Source organism: Homo sapiens, chromosome 15, assembly GCF_000001405.40.
Source record: "Homo sapiens chromosome 15, GRCh38.p14 Primary Assembly".
In the NCBI taxonomy this organism is placed as follows: Eukaryota; Metazoa; Chordata; class Mammalia; order Primates; family Hominidae; genus Homo; species Homo sapiens.
In genome coordinates this window covers 49,015,098-49,033,199 of record NC_000015.10, presented here as the reverse complement: position 1 = coordinate 49,033,199, position 18,102 = coordinate 49,015,098, and the positions used below count along the sequence as shown (strand labels likewise).

Genomic DNA, 18,102 nt, shown 5'->3' with positions numbered 1-18,102 from the left:
TGTGTATTTTATAATGTTTATTTTAGATGTGTTTTTTATAATGTTCAGTACATTGAATAGTTGTGTGTTTTTTGTTTTTTTGTTTTTTTTTTAAATCAGCAACAGCTTTTACAACAGCACATAAAAAGCAAAAGGCCGCTGGTGAAAAATGTAGCTACTCAGAAAGAAACAAATGCAGCAGGTCCTGATAGTCGATCAAAAATTGTGCTTCTGGTAGATGCTTCACAGCAAACTGGTAAGGCAAGGGTTCTTACATGTGCGTCACTGATTTTTATCTGTTTTCATTCATTCACTTTATAATTGTGGTCTGAACCACTTGTCAGAATTGTAGACTTTCATCCTTTCATTTGTCCTGCCACTTTGTGAAATTCTCTAGGAAGGATAAAGCAATCTGTGTCCTTAATGTTCTTTCAATTTGCTTGCTGGCCTTATGTACAATTTTGGGCGGGTTTAAGATGTCCTTTCCTTTTGTAATAATGGAGCGGTTCAGAAATCAGAGATGGAATTTTGCAGATACTGTAGAAATTTGAGGAACTCATTTTGGTTAAAATTAAAATTGTACATGTTTTTATAACTAGATTAAAGCCCTTTATAAAACATCCTAATATCCTATATATCTTTGTAGAAAGAACTTAGGAAGTTTTCTATGCCATATTTTAGCATAGATCTGAACCAAACCTATGTATGTCATGTATATCCTGTTAAACAAGTACAAGTTTTGAACTAGTCAAATATCATTTTGTCAAAAATTTTTAGAGGACTGTACAGGCATTAAATAAAAAAGCTTTCACCTGGTAATAGACAAGAATTAGTATTCTTACAATGTGCTATTTTTTACAGTTTATATTTTGAAATTTCACTTTGTATCTTTGATCTCAGTACAGAAACTATCTGTAGAGTAGATGTTTATCTCCTCTCACCCATAGTTATTGACACTAGTAAAAAATCTTTGTTTGTGATCCAAGGCCAAGATCTGTTCAAAGGCAGAATTAGCTTTTTTATCTCTGTACAGCCTCCATTCAAATGAAGTCTGAGTTGAAATGAATAAGATGGCTTATACTTTTTTCATTTAGATTATACCCTTTCTTTTGGAGATCTATGTATCTTTTTACGGTTGCTTAGATCCATTAGGAGCAGAGAAAGGATCTGAAAATCAGTTTTAAAAGCCTTGTTGATAGTACAGTCATTGTGTGGTTAAAGCATAAAGGCATGAAGCTTTGAGATTAACAGACTGACAAATACTTGGAGTGGCTATGGAAAAGAATCATAATGTAATATATTACTAAGTTTTCTGGTTTGGTTGTCTCTAGTCATAGTGACCCATTTCTATGTGCTTTTAACCCTGGGAAGGCTTTAAAATATCCTTACTTCTTTACGTTGCTTATTATTTTAACCACAAAGACATTCTTTCTAAGGCACAGGAATTAGAAAATGAAAAGATGAAGGTGAAATTTGAATAGAATGTTATATATTATACATCCTATTAGTATTTTTATTTTTAGTTTTCAAATCTGAGGATTTTAATTCTGTCAGTATTTTTATTCTTCAGTTAAGTTTTTAATTTCTGAGGATTAATTGGTATCAATCAGAGATCGAATTAAATATTATAGTTCATTAGGAATGTCTTTCCATTTCTAACAGATTTTTACATTTGAACACAAGCTCATTATTTAATAAGAGTTTATAATAAGATAGCTGGATCTAATATAATATACAAAAGTTAATTGCATTTCAGTTTGCCACCCACAAAATTTAAAAAAAAGATGTCATTAACAATAACACTGAAAAAGAGAGTTTCTAGAAATCTTAGAGAAGACATATGGGATGTATAGGCAGAAAATGGTAAGAATAGGCTGAGCGCCGTGGCTCATGCCTGTAATCCCAGCATTTTGGGAGGCCGAGGCAGACAGATCACTTGAGGTCTGGAGTTCGAGACTACCCTGGCCAGTATGGTGAAACCCCATCTCTACTAAAAAATATAAAAATCAGCTCTGTGTGGTGGCACGTGCCTGTAGTCTAGCTATCTGGGAGGCTGAGGTAGGAGAATCACTTGAACCTGGTAGGCGGAGGTTGCAGTGAGCCGAGATCACATCACTGCACTCCAGCCTGGCAACTGAGAAAGACTCTGTCTCAAAAGGGAAAAAAAAAAAAAAAAAAAAAAAGAAAATGATAAGTCTTTATTATGGGACATTAAGAAAAACCTAAATATCATGTTCAAAGTGATTTTGGGGAAACTTGATAAACTAATGCTAAAATAAAGGAACAGTGGTCTCAGAAGACCCAAGACATCCCTGGAAAAGAACTTTTCCTCTAGATATGGAAACTTGTAAAGCCATCTTAATTCCTATAGGTTTATTTTGTCAATGCAGAATACAAAAGTTGAACAGAACAGAGAGCCCAGAAACAGACCCCACATGTGTATGAAAACATGTATATGGAAGATGACAGATAGCATTACTGATTTATGCCCCATGCAAATCTATTTCAGATTGATTAAAGACTTAGGGAAACCCTATGGTAGAAGAAATATAGGCAGATAACTTTATGACTGCAGGGAGGGAACTATTTCTAAAATCAAGAATTTCTATTTATTAAAAGTTAGTGAAAGAATAATCCCCAACTTGGAAAAGACTTTTACCATGTATATAACTGACAAAGGATTAGCATGAGATATATAAAGAATTAATATGAATCAATAAGAGAATGATCCCACCCTGTCCTTGGGGCCCGTGGAACACTGTGCTAGCAGGCTGAACAATTTTGCGGGAATATGGGAATTTTTCTTTGGACGCAGTCATCTCATTCCTATGAATGTATCCAAATGGAGCCTCCCCCTAGAAAGAGAGGGGGTATTTGATTAAAGATGCATATTGCAGCAGTGCAGCAAAAGTACTGAAGCTTTCATAGTGTCCACTAGTAGCAGGTAACAAGTCCTGCTTGGATACTACTCTAAGTACAGAACACCCACTCAATGGAATAATATGGAGTCATCTTATAATTATGAAGACTTGTCATGACATGACATCATATTAAGCAGAGCACAACTCAAAATTGTATCAGTGTTGTATAAAAATTATGAATCGGCAGAAATGTGGAAAAAGGAAAACTTGTAATTTGTTCAAAGAGAGTCTTGTTTTTTGTTTTTTTTTTTTGGACTGTCTTGGTACAGTTATGATTTGTGAAGTAAATAAGAAATACAACTCAGTTGAAAAATGGCAGAAGTCAGATAATTCAAAAGTAATATTAATAAAAATTTCTCAGAAGGGAAAACACTGTGGCTAAAAGTAAAAAAAAAAAAAAGATCAGCCTCATTATTAAGCAGGTACATACAAATTAAAACCCACAATGAGCCACCATTTTATAACCAACAGATTAGGTACAGTCTGGATGATAATGTAAAGTATTTAATGAATATGTGGATCATTGGGGGTATATACTACTGTTGGAGTATAACTGTCTATTAAGTACCTGTGAAAATGATTTGGCATCAAGTAAAGTTGGATATGTGCATCCCCTAAGTTCTTGCAGTATTTACCTTAGAGAAACTTACATATGCATATATGCATGTTCATGTGTCTGTGTATCAATGTCAACAGTACTATTGTTCTTAGTAGCAAAACTCCAAAACAACTCAGGTGTCTCATCAGTGGTACAAAGGATAAGTACACTGTGGTATATTCATGTAAAGGCATGAATCACATGCACCAGAATCTGAAAGCCAGTGTTGAGGTGTGGCAGGGGTGAGAAGTCACATGGATAAAGTGGCGTTTTAAAATAAAGTTAGAAACTGGAAAATTATATGATTTAGGTTTTAGAAATACAGAAATCCATGGCAAATGCGTAAAGAAAAGTGAGGGAATGATATGCACAGAATTCAGAATAGATTGTAAGCTCTGGGTAAGAAAACGGTATAGTAGTGGAGGGGAGCACACAGTGACCTTCAAAAGATTGACGATGTTCTCTTTCCTAAATGGTTGATGGTGGTTTTAGTATTTTAGTGATATATTTTATTCTATTTTCATAATAAAAAACATATAGAACATATAGACTGGGCGAGGTAGCTCATGCCTGTAATCCCAGCATTTTGGGAGGTCAAGTCGGGTGGATCGCTTGAGCTCAGGAGTTTGAGACCAGCCTGGGCAACATGGCGAAACCCTGTCTCTACAAAAAATAACCCTGGTGTGGTGGTGGTGCGTGCCTGTAGTCCCGGCTACTTGGGAGGCTGAGGTAGAAGGATTGCTTGAGCCTGGGAGGCAAAGGTTGCAGTGAGCCAAGATTGCGCCACTGCCCTCCAGCCTGCGAAACAGACTGAGACCTTGCCTCAAGAAAAACAAAAAACATTATGAACCAACTTACCAGGAACATCTTACCTTTTAATGACCTTTTCAAAAAGTTGTCACCTATTTCTTCATTTATGAAGTTTGGTATCTATTTTCTTACAATCTTAATGATGATTTAATGAGAATTTATCAATTTGTTCATCACAAAGAATTGTCAAACTTTCCTTGCCTTTGTAGATTTCCCATCAGATATCGCTAACAAGTCTCTCTCAGAGACCACTGCAACAATGCTCTGGAAGTCCAAGGGCAGGAGAAGAAGAGCATCCCACCCTACTGCTGAATCTTCTAGTGAGCAGGGGGCTAGTGAAGCCGACATTGACAGTGATAGTGGTTACTGCAGTCCCAAACACAGCAACAACCAGCCTGCAGCAGGGGCTTTGAGAAATCCTGATTCTGGGACCATGAATGTATGTGACATCGTCTTGATTTCTTTATTGGTCATTGATATCAGTATTATTATTTTGCATCCTCTGCTAAAGCTTAAGTATCTGTTTTCATTAGCAATTCCTGTAGTAATAGGATAGTTACAAATGTATTTTGTATTTTATTAATAAAAATATTCATTTATGAAGAAGTATGATAATATTGTGATATGCATGCTTCACACTAGGATAAATTATAAAACATTTAGCAAAGTACATAATGTTGGTTCTCAAGTAGAGTATAATTGTCTTTTTGTTTCTTTTTTTAGCATGTGGAATCATCTATGTGTGCAGGTACTTGTTTTCTGCATTGTGTTTTTGCTATACTTTCTACTTTGTCCATATCAGAGTTTTCCTTTTAAGCATGAGGCTTGCTGATACTGCAAAAAAAACTTAGAAGTCTTCCAGAGATTCAAGGTAATTTGGAAGTACAGTTTTGCTGATCAGCTTGAGAAAATGCCAGCTGGAGGTATTCTGTAAGAGGACACTTGTATTACTAAGAGCTGTAGTACTGCTTAGAAGTTTATAGGGCCGGGTAAGGTGGCTCACGCCTCTAATCCCAGAACTTTGGGAGGCCGAGGTGGGTGGATCACGAGGTCAGGAGTTCGAGACCAGCCTGGCCAACATGATGAAACCCAATCTCTAGTAAAAATACAAAAAAGTTAACTGGACGTGGTGGTGAGCGCCTGTAATCCCAGCTACTTGGGAGGCTGAGGAAGGAGAATTGCTTGAACCCGGGAGGCGGAGGTTGCAGTGAGCCAAGATCTCGCCACTGCACTCCAGCCTGGGCAAGAAGAGTGAAACTCTGTCTCAAAAAAAAAAAAAAATAATAAGGTTTATAGAAAAATTTTCACTATTACATTTCTAGTGACTGAATTTCAGTATGTGAAGTCAGGTCAATTTAGGTTTTCCTACCTTTTATAAGTAAATTATAATTTAAAATTTCATTTGTTATAGGTGGTGTAAATTGGTCCAATGTAACTTGCCAGGCAACTCAGAAAAAACCTTGGATGGAAAAAAATCAGACATTTTCTAGAGGTGGAAGGCAAACTGAACAAAGAAATAATTCACAGGTAATTCGAATTAGGTTGGAGAAAATTGATTAGGTATGAGATGAGTCATTTTAGATTTGTTAGTTACAGTGGTGTAGTGGATATGCACATGGAGTGATTTGGAAGTGAACTATCATGTGTAACTTTAAAATGGCTTAGCTAATAAACTTACTTAAATAATGAAACAAAATGGCAAAGTGTTGAGTGGGTATATATGGTACCATTTTTCTACATTTCTGTATATTTAAATATTTTATATGTTAAAAAAGGATGCCCTTTAATCCTGTTTCATTTGCCATGTCTTTTTCCCACATAAAAATTCAAAAGCATTTTGTGCTTTAAATATTGATTCTTTGATCTTAAGGATTGTAGCCTTGTCCACGTGTCTTTACTTGACTGTAAATACCCTTTTGTGCTAATGGCAGTGCCATAGTGATGGCTTGCCATGAGGTAGTCAGACAGAGCAGTTTCCTGAGGCCCAGAGGAACAAGGTGTAACTGCAGTACAGTAGAGCAGGCTGTGCACTGCCATGAACTACCCATAACTGTATCTTCCTGCTTTGGTTGGCTGTAAAATCAGGGAGTTGTTTAATGGTCATTATTTTTCCTTTTCATTTTTCAGATGGCCTTCTTGGATTCCTTAACTCTATTTAAGGAATTAAAACTATCATATGACTATATGGACATGTTCATCTGTGAATAAACTTAAATAGGAGCAAGTTACTAATGGGTTAAATATACTAACTCTTTGCCTGTTCCTTTGCCTCCCTGGAATGAAATACAGGTTGAGCATCCAAGAAAAAAGTTTCAGATTTTAGAGCATTTTGGATTTGGGATTGGGATTTTAGAGCATCTGAAACTTTTTTCTTTCTAGTCGACACATGATAACTGTACATAGTTATAAAGTATAGTGTGATATATTGATATATGTATATAATGTGTAATGATCAAATCAGGGTGATTACCATATCCATCATCTCAAACATAGATCATTTCTTTGTTTTGGGAACATTCAGAATCCTGTCCCCTATTTGAAAATAAACATTAAATTATTGTTAACTGTAGTCACTCTACCAGGGCTATAGAACACTAGAATTTATTCCCTCTATGTAACTGTAATTTTGCATTTGTTGACCAACCTTTCCCTATCCCTCTCCCTCAACCCTTCCCAGCCTCTGGTAACCATTATTCTACTCTCTACTTGTAAGATCAACTTTTTTAGCTTCCACATGTGAGTGACAACGTGTGTTATTTATCTTTCTGTGCCTTGCTTATTTCACTTAACATATTGTCCTCTAGGCTCATCCATGTTGCTGTGAATGACAGGATTTTGTTCTTTTTATGGCTGAATAGTATTCCCTTGTTTATATATACCACATTTCTTCATCCATTCATCTGCTGATGGACACTTAAGTTGATTTCATATCTTGGCTATTGTGAATAATGCTGCAATAAAGAAGAGAGGCAGATATCTCTTTAACATACTGATGGCCTTTTCTTTGGATTTAGTAGTGGGATTGCTGGATCATATGGCAGTTCTTTTTTAGTTTTTGAGGAAACTTTATACTATTTTCTGTAGTGGTCATACTAATTTACATTCCCAAGATCAATGTGTATACGAGTTTCCTTTTCTCTGCATCCTCACCAGCATACCAGCATTTTTTTTTGTCTTTTTGAGAATAGGCATTCTGAGATGAGAAAATACCTCATTATGGTTTTGATATGCATTTCCCTGATGATTAGTGATGCTGAGCATTTTTTCATGTATGCCTTCTCTTGAGAAATGACTGTTCAAATCATTTGCCCATTTTTTAATTGAAAAATATGAAACTTTTTTAGTGCCATGATACCACAAGTAGAAAATTCTACACATAAGTACTTAACACAACTTTGTTTAATGCATACAGTTATTTAAAATAATGTATGAAATTACCTTCCGGCTATGTGCATAAGGTGTATGTGAAACACAAGTGAATTTCGTGTTTAGTCTTGGATCCCATCCCCAAGGTACCTCAGTATGTATATGCAGATATTCCAGAATCTGAAAAAGTCTGAAATTCAAAACACTTCTGGTCCCAAGCATTTCAGATAAGGAATAACTCAACCTGTACTTCATATGTACCTTAACATTAATTAGGCTGTCAAAAAAAAATAATTCACTCTTCCATGTGGTTATTGCAAAAATAAATCATTTATGGCAAGCTTGTGAGGCAGTCTAACTTCATTTGATTAAAAACAAAAGAGCTAAAAGGGGAATCATTTATGTAGATTAGATAAATGAATTCTACCTAATATTTACATACGGGCTGAAATTTTCTGTTGAGACTGTAATTGCTAGTCCTACCCATGTTTACAGTTTCAGTACTATTGGTTTTGGTATCAGTAGCTCACTAGAGAGGAAATAATACTGAGATGAAAAACATTTTATCTCTTTCTCAAAACTTGATGAGGAATGTTAAAAGAACAAAAAAGAAAACTTTGCAAATATATATGGCACCAAAGAACTGGAGCCACATGTTTGACAATGTATTTGCTTTCTACTTCTGATGCTTTGTTATCCTTGTACTTTACTTAAGTGTATTTGTTTGATTTTTGATTTGTTTGATTTTTGAGATGCAGAGTCTTTTTAAGTCAAAATGTTTTTCCCTATTTGCAATTTCTGATTGTTTTTAGGCTCTAAACATCTTTTAGAAATCAAATAAATATTGACCTGTATGTTCTGCTACTTTTTATAATATAATATTTCAGGGCATTTTTATCTGAGATTTATTTTGATCCATGGTAAAACAAAATTTTCAAAGTAGTTAACCAGTTATCCTAACATTCTTTCCCTGGTTTGTGTTTCCATTTTAGTGATTTGGTGATTTCTTTCTTTTTTTTTTTTTTTTTTGAGACAGAGTCTTGCTCTTGTTGCCCAGGCTGGAATGCAGTGGCACGATCTTAGCTCACTGCAACCTCCGCCTCCCGGGTTCAAGTGATTGTCCTGCCTCAGCCTCCTGAGTAGCTGGGATTACAGGTGCCCGCCACCACATGTGGGTAATTTTTGTATTTTTAGTAGAAACAGGGTTTCACTATGTTGGCCAGGCTGGTCTCAAACTCCTGACCTCGTGATCCACCCACCTCGGCCTCCCAAAGTATTGGGATTACAGGGGTGAGCCATGGCACCCAGCCTACTGATTTCTTATATGTTATTTTGGGGCTACTTGTTTTGTTCAGTTTATCATATTTTTGCACCTATACCATGCTGTTTAATTACAGGAGTTTTAAACATTCTTCTGGTGTTTTAACATTGGGTAATATAGATCATTTCTTTAGTCTGGTATAGGTCTAATTTTAAATGATGGAAAGAATCCAAAAACTTGAAATCTTTTAAAACGGCTTTATTTTATGGAATAGGTTGAAAAGTAAAAGAGATTTTTAAAAAAAGATTATATACAATGTAAAAGTCTCATTTCACCTCTGCTTCTCCTTGACTTCTCCTCTCCCCCATACCTCTCCCACTTTGAGTAATTTCTTGTCTTCCAGAGTTTTTTCACTTCATTATAAGTAAATAGAAGTATATATCTTATTTTTGTTCTTTCTTTACATAAAAGAGCATATCTACTCTGTTCTCTGCTTTGCTCACTTAACAGTGTATCTTGGAGACATTTTCATAATTTCCATATTACTACATAAAGGGCTTCCACACTTTTTCCTTTTAGACAACTCGTAATATTGTGTGGATATAATCTTGTTGATTTCTGTAGTCTTACCAGTGGACACTTGAGTTGTTTGCAAACTGTTGCTGTTATAGACATGCTGCTGTGTCATTTAGAAATGTGTATGTATAGAATCAGTTTCTAGTTAGGGACTGCTGAGTCAGAAGGTAAATTCATCTGTTGTTTTGGTAAATATCACCAGATTGTATCAGTTTGCATCCTCAGCAACAATGTGGAAAGTGCCTAGTTTCATACGGCTTCAGATATAGTGCGTTTTCAGGATTTGGGGTGTATGCCAGTTAGATAAAAATTATGTCTTAATGTAGTTGATCATTCTTCCATGTGTTTAAGGAGCATTTGTATTTACTTCTTTTCCTGTGAACTTACCTGGTCCTATCCTTTGCTCATTTTTTGAATCTTGATCTATTTCTTTCTTTTTTGGGGTACATTTTAAAATCAGTTTGATCAAGTTTTTATCAAATTCCTGAAGTTACTTGGAGTATTTAATATGTAATACAAGTTGCAAATATTTTGCTAGGTTTTCCTTTTTATTTTTTACTTTGCTCATTATTATCATGATTATTGCCATGCACAGTTTATTTTTAAAATAACATTAAGAAGTTTATATTTATAAATTGACTTTATTGGTCCTTTTTTTTTTGATGGCTTCTAAAGGGTTTTAAATCATAATTGGAAGAGCTTTGCCCCTGCTCTAAAGCTGTAAAGGAATTTGCTTGTTTTTTCCTCTAGTGTATTCATGGCCTTGCTTTTTACATTTAAATCTTTATTCCATTTGGAGTTTTTCTTGGTATATGATGTGAGATATGATCCTACTTTGTAATTTCAAAGTGACTTTTTAAAATCTTCCAGCAGCATTTGTTGAAAAGTTGATCTCTTCTTCACTGACTTTAATTACCTTTATCACTTATTAAATTCCCAAATATATTGGAATCCATTTCTGGACTTTCTATTCTGTTCCATTGGTGTTTAAATTAATCTGTAAACTTAGAGAGAATCAGCTACCTTTATGATGTGTCACCTTTCTATGCAAAAACAGTATGTCTTCCTATTTTTGAATCTTTTTTTTGAGACGGAGTCTTGCTCTGTTGCCCAGGCTGGAGTACAGTGGCACAATCTCAGCTCACTGCAACCTCCTCCTCCTGGGTTCAAATGATTCTCCTGCCTCAGCCTCCTCCCAAGTAGCTGAGATTACAGGTGCCTGCTACCACACGTGGCTAATTTTTGTATTTCAGTAGAGACCAGGTTTCACCATGTTGGCCAGACTGGTCTCGAACTCCTGACCTCAAGCGATCCATCCGCTTCAGCCTCCCAAAGTGCTGGGATTACAGGCATGAGCCACCGCACCTGGCTTGAATCGTTTTTTTGTGTTCTTTAGAAGTGGTGTAAGGCAGGCATGGTGGCATGCACCCATAGTCCTAGCTACTTGGGAGGCTGAGGTGGGAGGAGCGCTTGAGCCCAGGAGTTTGAGGTTACAGTGAGCTATGATGGCGCCACTGCACTCCAGCCTGGGTGACAGAATGAGACCCTGTCTCAGTTAAGCAGTTAGTCAATCAATCAAATAAATGGAAGTGTTGTAAAGTTTTCTTTAAATAAGTTTGTACATATTCTTAGTGGCAATTTCTAATATTTTTTTCCTTTTTATTGTAAATGGGGTATGAAAACTTTAAAATTTTTAAATTAATTTTGTGCTACTCATTTAAGAATCTTAATATATATTCAAAGCCGTAGCTTCTGCTTTGTTTTGTTCAGTATACCCTCTTTCTATCAACAAAACTCTTTCTTAGAAGAGCTGACAAAAAGTATTTCGACGTCCTGAGGTTATTGATTCATTCATGAGTTTATTGGAGTACTTGCACATTTGGCTCACATGAACTTTGTTGGGACCATTAGTTTGGGGGTTTTAATTTAATCCTGGTGCTTTATGTCTCGAAGTGTAAGAATCAGGTTGCGTTTGTTTTTAAAGGAAATTGTTTTACCGTTTGTAACACCGTTAATACATATATACTAATTCTGGTTTACAACAGCAAGCGTGAGAATTCAGGTGGTTCCAGGTCTTTGTGTGCATCTGTTTGACTTCAGAATCCAAGGCCTGTGTACCAGCACCTTCTCTCCAGGTCTGCTTCCAATTCGCAGTTGTTAGAATTTTGGAGTAGCTGTTACTAAAGATTATACTTTTCATATATTTTAAGTGTCCTGGTTAAGAGAGGCATTTACTGTTAGCTGCATTTGGTACTTAAGAGAGGTAACTTGAAATGTCTTAAGAGTCTTAGAATGCTTAATGTTTTTTTTCTTGCCCATATGACAGTTGAACATTTTGCATATTCGTTAATGGGATTTTTTGGTCTGTTTTGGCTGCTATAAGATAATGCTATAGACTCAGTGACTTATAAACAACAGAAGTTTATTTCTCTCAGTTCTGGAGGGTGGGAAGTCCAAGGCACTGGCAAATTCGATGTCTGGTAAGGGCCTGCTTTGTGGTTCATAGGTGGCTGTCTTCTAGCTTTGTCCTTATGTGGTAGAAGGGGTGAAGGCGTCTCTGGGGTTTCTTATATGAGGTCACTAATCCCATTTGTGATGGCTCTGCCCTCATAACTTAATCACCTCCCAAAGGCCGCACTTTCAAATACCGTCTCGTGGGCGGAGGGCGTATTGGGATTTTAATACATGAATTTTAGGAGATGGAAACATTTTAGTCCATAACATACAATGATAATACTAATTTATGTGATTTAATAAAAGCTTATTCTCTTAAATCTTGGAAACAAGATTTGTATTAAATTATTCTCCTAATTGTTTTATCTATTTTATAAAAAAATAAACTGCAAGTATCAGAAGACTTACAGTAGTTAAATTAAAGAGTAGCTGGGCACGGTGAATCATGCCTGTAATCCCAGCACTTTGGGAGGCGAGGCAGGAGGATCCCTTGAGCCCAGGAGTTGCAGACCAGCCTGGACAATATAGGTAGACCCTGCTTCTACAGAAAATAAAAAAAATTAGCTGGGTGTGGTGGTGCACACCTGTGGTCCTAGTTGTTTGGGAGGCTGAGGTGAAAGAATCACTTGTGCCCAGGAGGTTGAGGCTGCAGTGAGCTGTGATCACACTACTGCACTCCTGCCTGGGTGACAGAGTAAGATCCTAACTGAAAAAGTAATGTAAAAAGCCAGGCATGTGACTCATGCCTTAATCTCAGTACTTTGAGAGGCCAAGGTGGGAAGATTGCTTGAAGTCAGCAGTTTGAGACCAGCCTGGGCAACATAGCGAGACCCCTGTCTCTACAAAAATACAAATAAAACAATTAGCTGGGTGTGGTGGCATGTGCTTGTAGTCCCAGCTACTTGGGAGGCTGAGGCAAGAGAATCACTCGAGCCTAGGTGTTCAGGCTGTAGTGAGCTATGATCAAGCCACTGCACTCCAGCCTGGGCAACAGAGCAAGATCACGTCTCTAAAAAAAATAAGCAAGTAATATGCAGTTTCCCCCCTGTGGTAACATCTTGCAAAACTATAGTGCAATATCACACCCAGATATTGGCCTCGATACAGTCAAGATGCAGAACAGATCCATCATCACAAGGACCCTCCTGTTGGCTTTCATAGCCACACCAACTGCTCCTTATCCCCTAGAATCCACTGATCTATTCTCCCTTTCTAATTTTGTTGTTTCAATAATTTTGTATGCCTTCATACAGTCTTTTTGGGATTGGCCTTTTTCACTTCCATGGTTCTCTGGTTGTTGAGTTTATCAATACTGTAGTTTATTCCTTTTTGTGGTTGATACAGACTTCTATACTATGATCTGGATATGCCACAGTTAGTTTAACTGTTCACCCACTGTAGAACATCTGGTTTGTTTCCTGTTTTCACTTTTGTGAATAAAGCTGCTAATAAATATTCATGTCGAGGGGAAAAAAGCAATGTGGATTAATTGTCTCATTTTTCTATTTTTCTTATAAGTACCTTACTTGTCAGAAACTTGATCTTTAAAATAAGTGATGCACTTGGTGAAAATTTATTGAGTTGTACACTTGCGTGTACTTTTCTGCCAGTATGTTATATATTTGAGTGAAACATTTATTTAAAAATAATTAGATTTTTTTTCCCCTCTGGGGTTTACTTAGGTTGGATTCAGATGCCGAGGACACAGTACTTCCTCAGAAAGAAGACAGAATTTGCAAAAGAGACCAGATAATAAGCATTTAAGCTCTAGTCAATCCCATAGAAGCGATCCAAATTCTGAGTCTTTATATTTTGAGGTATTTTTTTCAAACTCTATTTGTAAGCTGTTATAGGAAATGTTCCCATTAAGAAATTAATTTGTTACATTGTGAACATTGTGAGTACTTTTTATGTCTTAACATGTGATTCTAGTATTAAATTATAAATTACTCAGAAGTATTAACTCATTTTTGTCTTGGTTATATATATTTAATCTAACATTAATTTTACTGATGTTTATTTTTATAAATTTTTGTCCTGTGTGTTCATCATTTAGGGGGTAATGTATAGAGGTAGAACTTGATTTCATGTGGACTTTATTTAGTATGGAGCTTTTTCACTTAATTTTTGTTGTTATTCAATCCATTTGAAAGGCTTTTCAGATTTGAGTAGTTCAGTCTAGTTAAGTTGTGCTGCCAGCCAGGAGAATTTTAGAGAAGGAAGAAAAATGTTTTACTTTCTCTGATAGACAGTTCATATCCTAATTGCACTGTTATTCATCTAACAGATTCTTACTGGTGGTCTAGTATATGTGTGCAGTAAGGTGCTCTGAATGATACATTAAGGTGAATAGACCTGCTATCTTTGGGAAAGTTGCTGTGTAGTAGAAGAACATAGGCATATACACACCTAATACTTAGTTGAGTGTGGTTAGAGTTGAGCGCAGAGACAGGTCACTTTGGGTTTGTGGCAGGGTAGGTAACATTTGAAATGAATTTAAAAAACAAGTAGAATTTGTATGTGTCAAGATGTTTTTCACCACACATCTCCGGTAACTCATTTGAGTAACTCATTTTGGTTGGATCATAAATTCTATTGAATGAGTTAATAGATGGGAGGTTAAACTGGAAAACTTGCTTGAGGTCAGAGGATAGAAATCAATAATATGCTGGGCGTGGTGGCTAATGCCTGTAATCCCAGCACTTTGGGAGGCCAAGCAGATCACCTGAGGTCAGGATCACTTGAGGTCAGGAGTTCGAGACCAGCCTGGCCAACGTGGTGAAACCCCATCTCTACTAAAAATACAAAAAGTTAACTGGGCATGGTGGCGGGTCCCTGTAATCCCAGCTAACTGGGAGGCTGAGGCAGGAGAATTGCTTGAACCCAGGAGGTGGAGGTTGCAGTGAGCCGAGATTGTGCCATTGCACTCTATCCTGGGCAACAATAGTGAAACTCCATCTCAAAAAAAAAAAAAAAAATCAATAATATGTTAGATAAGTTTAGTAATTGAGCCAAAGGACTTGAGAGTATATCTCAATTATTTTCTCAAGAATAGTTTCAATATATCCAGGTCTGGCAATTGTAGTACATGTACTCAACTGTACTATTGGTTCTATACTTATATTTAAAGACATTAGATATAATTTTCAGGAAAAAGGAAGATATTAATAAATTAATTTCAATGGAAAAGATGTTTTTAACCTTATTGACAATTGTGTGGAGTAATGCAGAACAAGGAGTATATTAATAAAGTTTACATGAAGCTGTCTGTTAAACACTTTCTCAAATTATCTGAATGTGATAAAACCCAGTTTGAATTTCTTTTCAATTACCCACCCATCTGAAGGTAGAATTATTAATAAAAATGAAATAGTAGGTGCAGAAATCCAAAAACTGGACATGTGTGGATACGCCCCCATCCTTGAATAATTAAATTGTTTATATTTTAGCATGTGAGAAATGACATTTCCTCTTTAAGACCGACTTTGAATAATTCAGTAATAGAATACAAGAAATAACTTCCTCATTTTTCAATACTTCTAAGCATTATAAAAAGTTTAGGAGTTTGCCTTGAACTCTTTTTACTTAAAATGTGAAACATTTCAGGATGAAGATGGGTTTCAAGAACTAAATGAGAATGGAAATGCTAAGGATGAGAATATTCAACAAAAACTTTCTTCTAAAGTAGTAAGTAACTCTTTAAAAAGAAAAGCAAAATATAACATCTTTTGAACAATGGCTATGTTGAAGGGAAATATTAAAGATAAGTGTAAAGGCACATGGAGCAGCAGAGTGTGCAGGAGATGGTGTTTAGTACCTATCTTTAATATTTCTTTTCCAGCATAGCCTGAACAAAGATAATACCCTATGAAATCCACAGTTCTATTACTAAAATACCATTAACTAAATGATATCATCATACAACATACAGTCTGTACTGAAATTTTCCCAACTGTTGCAAAATTTTACTTTGGATGTATTTTGTTTTATTTCATTCAAGGATCCAGGCAGCCATCACCCACTGCATTAAGCTGTTTTGTCCCTTTATTATTTCCCAGTCTGAAATGGTCCCACTGTCAAATCCTGTTCTTTATGACATTGAATTCTTTGAAGAGTCTAGTCCGGTTGTACTGCAGAACATCCCACATTCTGGATCCTTTTTCCTTATGATTGACTTTTATGGGATCACTAACAAATGTGTTTTTTCTGGTTATCATAGTTGGATGATTTACCTGAAAACTCACCAATCAATATAGTTCAGACTCCAATTCCTATTACCACCTCAGTTCCCAAACGTGCAAAAAGTCAGAAGAAGAAAGCTTTAGCAGCAGCCCTTGCCACAGCTCAAGAGTATTCAGAAATAAGTATGGAGCAAAAAAAATTACAGGTACATATTCATTTTTATGAACAAATGTGATAGTTTACTTGCTAGGTTTGATGGAATAGATAGAAGGAGTGATAAATGTAGTCATCTTAAAATGCCACAGTTTCGTACTATAACAAAAAAATTAATTTTTTATATTTATTTTGTAGGAAGCTTTATCAAAAGCAGCTGGAAAAAAGAATAAAACACCTGTGCAGCTAGATTTAGGGGACATGTTAGCTGCTCTGGAAAAACAACAGCAAGCAATGAAAGCACGGCAAATTACTAACACCAGACCTCTGTCATATACAGGTGATATCATTAGTCTGAGCAATTTGCTGTTTGTCTCTGCTAATATATGTTAGATGTTGTTAATCGAAATTTTTAAAATTTTATATATGTATGTGTATATATATGTGTGTGTGTGTGTATATATATGTATGTGTGTTTGTGTGTGTGTATTTTAAGTCAGCTTAAACCGCAAGCCTTGAAATTGTCCATGCTCCTTTCCACACCTAGTCCTTTAACACATCCTATCTGTCCTGCCTGCAAAACATATCCATACTCTAACTACTCACCAGATTTCCTGCCACCACAGTAGCCCCCATTATTGTATCATACTAGACTGAGTAGCCTCCTTACTACTACCTGCTTTTCCCTCCCCACAACCCCTTGTCTGCGTTAAAAGGAGTGACCTTTTTAAAATGTAAGCTGGATTATATCACTTCACTGCTCAGAATCCTCTAACAGTGCTTCATTTCACTTGGCATGAAGCCAGACTCCTAACTAAAGCCATATTTTAGCTGACCCTATTACCTTTTTGCCTTCGTCACCATTCTCTCCTAACACACTCTGCTCTAGCTGCATTAGCAGTCCTCAGACACACCCAGCATGATCCTAGCTCAGTATCTGTGGGCTTGCTATTCCCTTTTCCTGGGATGCTCTTTCCCCAGGTATCAGCATAGTTTGCTTCCCTCAGGTTCTTTAGATCTCTGCATAAATGTCAGTTGATATGCATTTTGACTCACCCAAATTTTTTTCTTTTTCAAAGATTGAAATAAAAAATCACAAGTAATCTGGCTCTCTTAAATTATCCAGTTTAAAACTCAGTTGCATACAAGGGTTTTGATCAGATTGTGTGTGTGTGTATATGAGAAAATGATCTGGCTTTCTACTGAAACAGTAATTTCTATTTTAACAAACCTTGTCAGATTTAGAGCTCAGCTTTTCTGTGTTCCCTCATTTCTTTTCATAGTCTTTTTTTAGAGGGTGAGGAATAGAACAAAGGAACAGGAAAGGTACCAATGTACAGCACCAGCACCAATGTTGAGAGGCAAAATTGAATTTTGTGTTTCTTCTGATCCTGTGTGAAGGGACTATTACTTATTAGACAGAAAGATAAATTACAGTGTATAATTTTAACCTGTGTGCAAAACGTTTAAACCTATCTAGTTACCAATCCACTATCAACCTCTGTTATTACAATAGTTATTTGTAATAACTATTATTACAAATAGTACTGAATGTATATAAAGCTTTAGAGTTGCATGTTGAGATGGGCAGAGTGGCAGTAATCTCTCACTTAAGAGTAAAAATAGGGAATAAAACTGAGAGTTAGCAGTGTTCTGGAGGCGGTATGCCCTAGTAGCTAAAAGCAGGGGCCCTGGAATCAAGTTGCCTTTGTTTGAATCCTGTTCTTCCATGTGTTTCATTGGCAAGTTACTTAACCTTCCTGTGCTTCAGTTTCCTCACATTAATATGAGAGTACCTACTT

General features: G+C 36.1%; 1 protein-coding gene across 2 annotated transcripts in view, besides 2 other annotated features; it reads left to right on the top strand.

The window, feature by feature from the left end:
- SECISBP2L (SECIS binding protein 2 like) overlaps positions 1-18,102 on the top strand; it is a 57,809-nt gene that overhangs the window by 13,247 nt on the left and 26,460 nt on the right. Inside the window, exons 4-11 of one of the 2 annotated variants that reach the window (NM_001193489.2) lie at positions 100-235; positions 4,518-4,747; positions 5,032-5,056; positions 5,720-5,835; positions 13,648-13,782; positions 15,572-15,652; positions 16,185-16,352; positions 16,499-16,640. In NM_001193489.2, the coding sequence (NP_001180418.1) occupies positions 100-235; positions 4,518-4,747; positions 5,032-5,056; positions 5,720-5,835; positions 13,648-13,782; positions 15,572-15,652; positions 16,185-16,352; positions 16,499-16,640 (1,033 nt within the window). The remainder of the gene's footprint in view (positions 1-99; positions 236-4,517; positions 4,748-5,031; positions 5,057-5,719; positions 5,836-13,647; positions 13,783-15,571; positions 15,653-16,184; positions 16,353-16,498; positions 16,641-18,102) is intronic. The other variant, NM_014701.4, reaches the window with a different exon arrangement.
- Positions 9,592-9,792: a silencer, noted in NCBI's record as "peak2331 fragment used in MPRA reporter construct". NCBI's record gives its function as "represses an SCP1 promoter by STARR-seq MPRAs in K562 erythroleukemia cells {active_cell/tissue: K562}" and the evidence as "EXISTENCE:reporter gene assay evidence [ECO:0000049][PMID:32103011]".
- Positions 9,762-9,962: a silencer, noted in NCBI's record as "peak2330 fragment used in MPRA reporter construct". NCBI's record gives its function as "represses an SCP1 promoter by STARR-seq MPRAs in K562 erythroleukemia cells {active_cell/tissue: K562}" and the evidence as "EXISTENCE:reporter gene assay evidence [ECO:0000049][PMID:32103011]".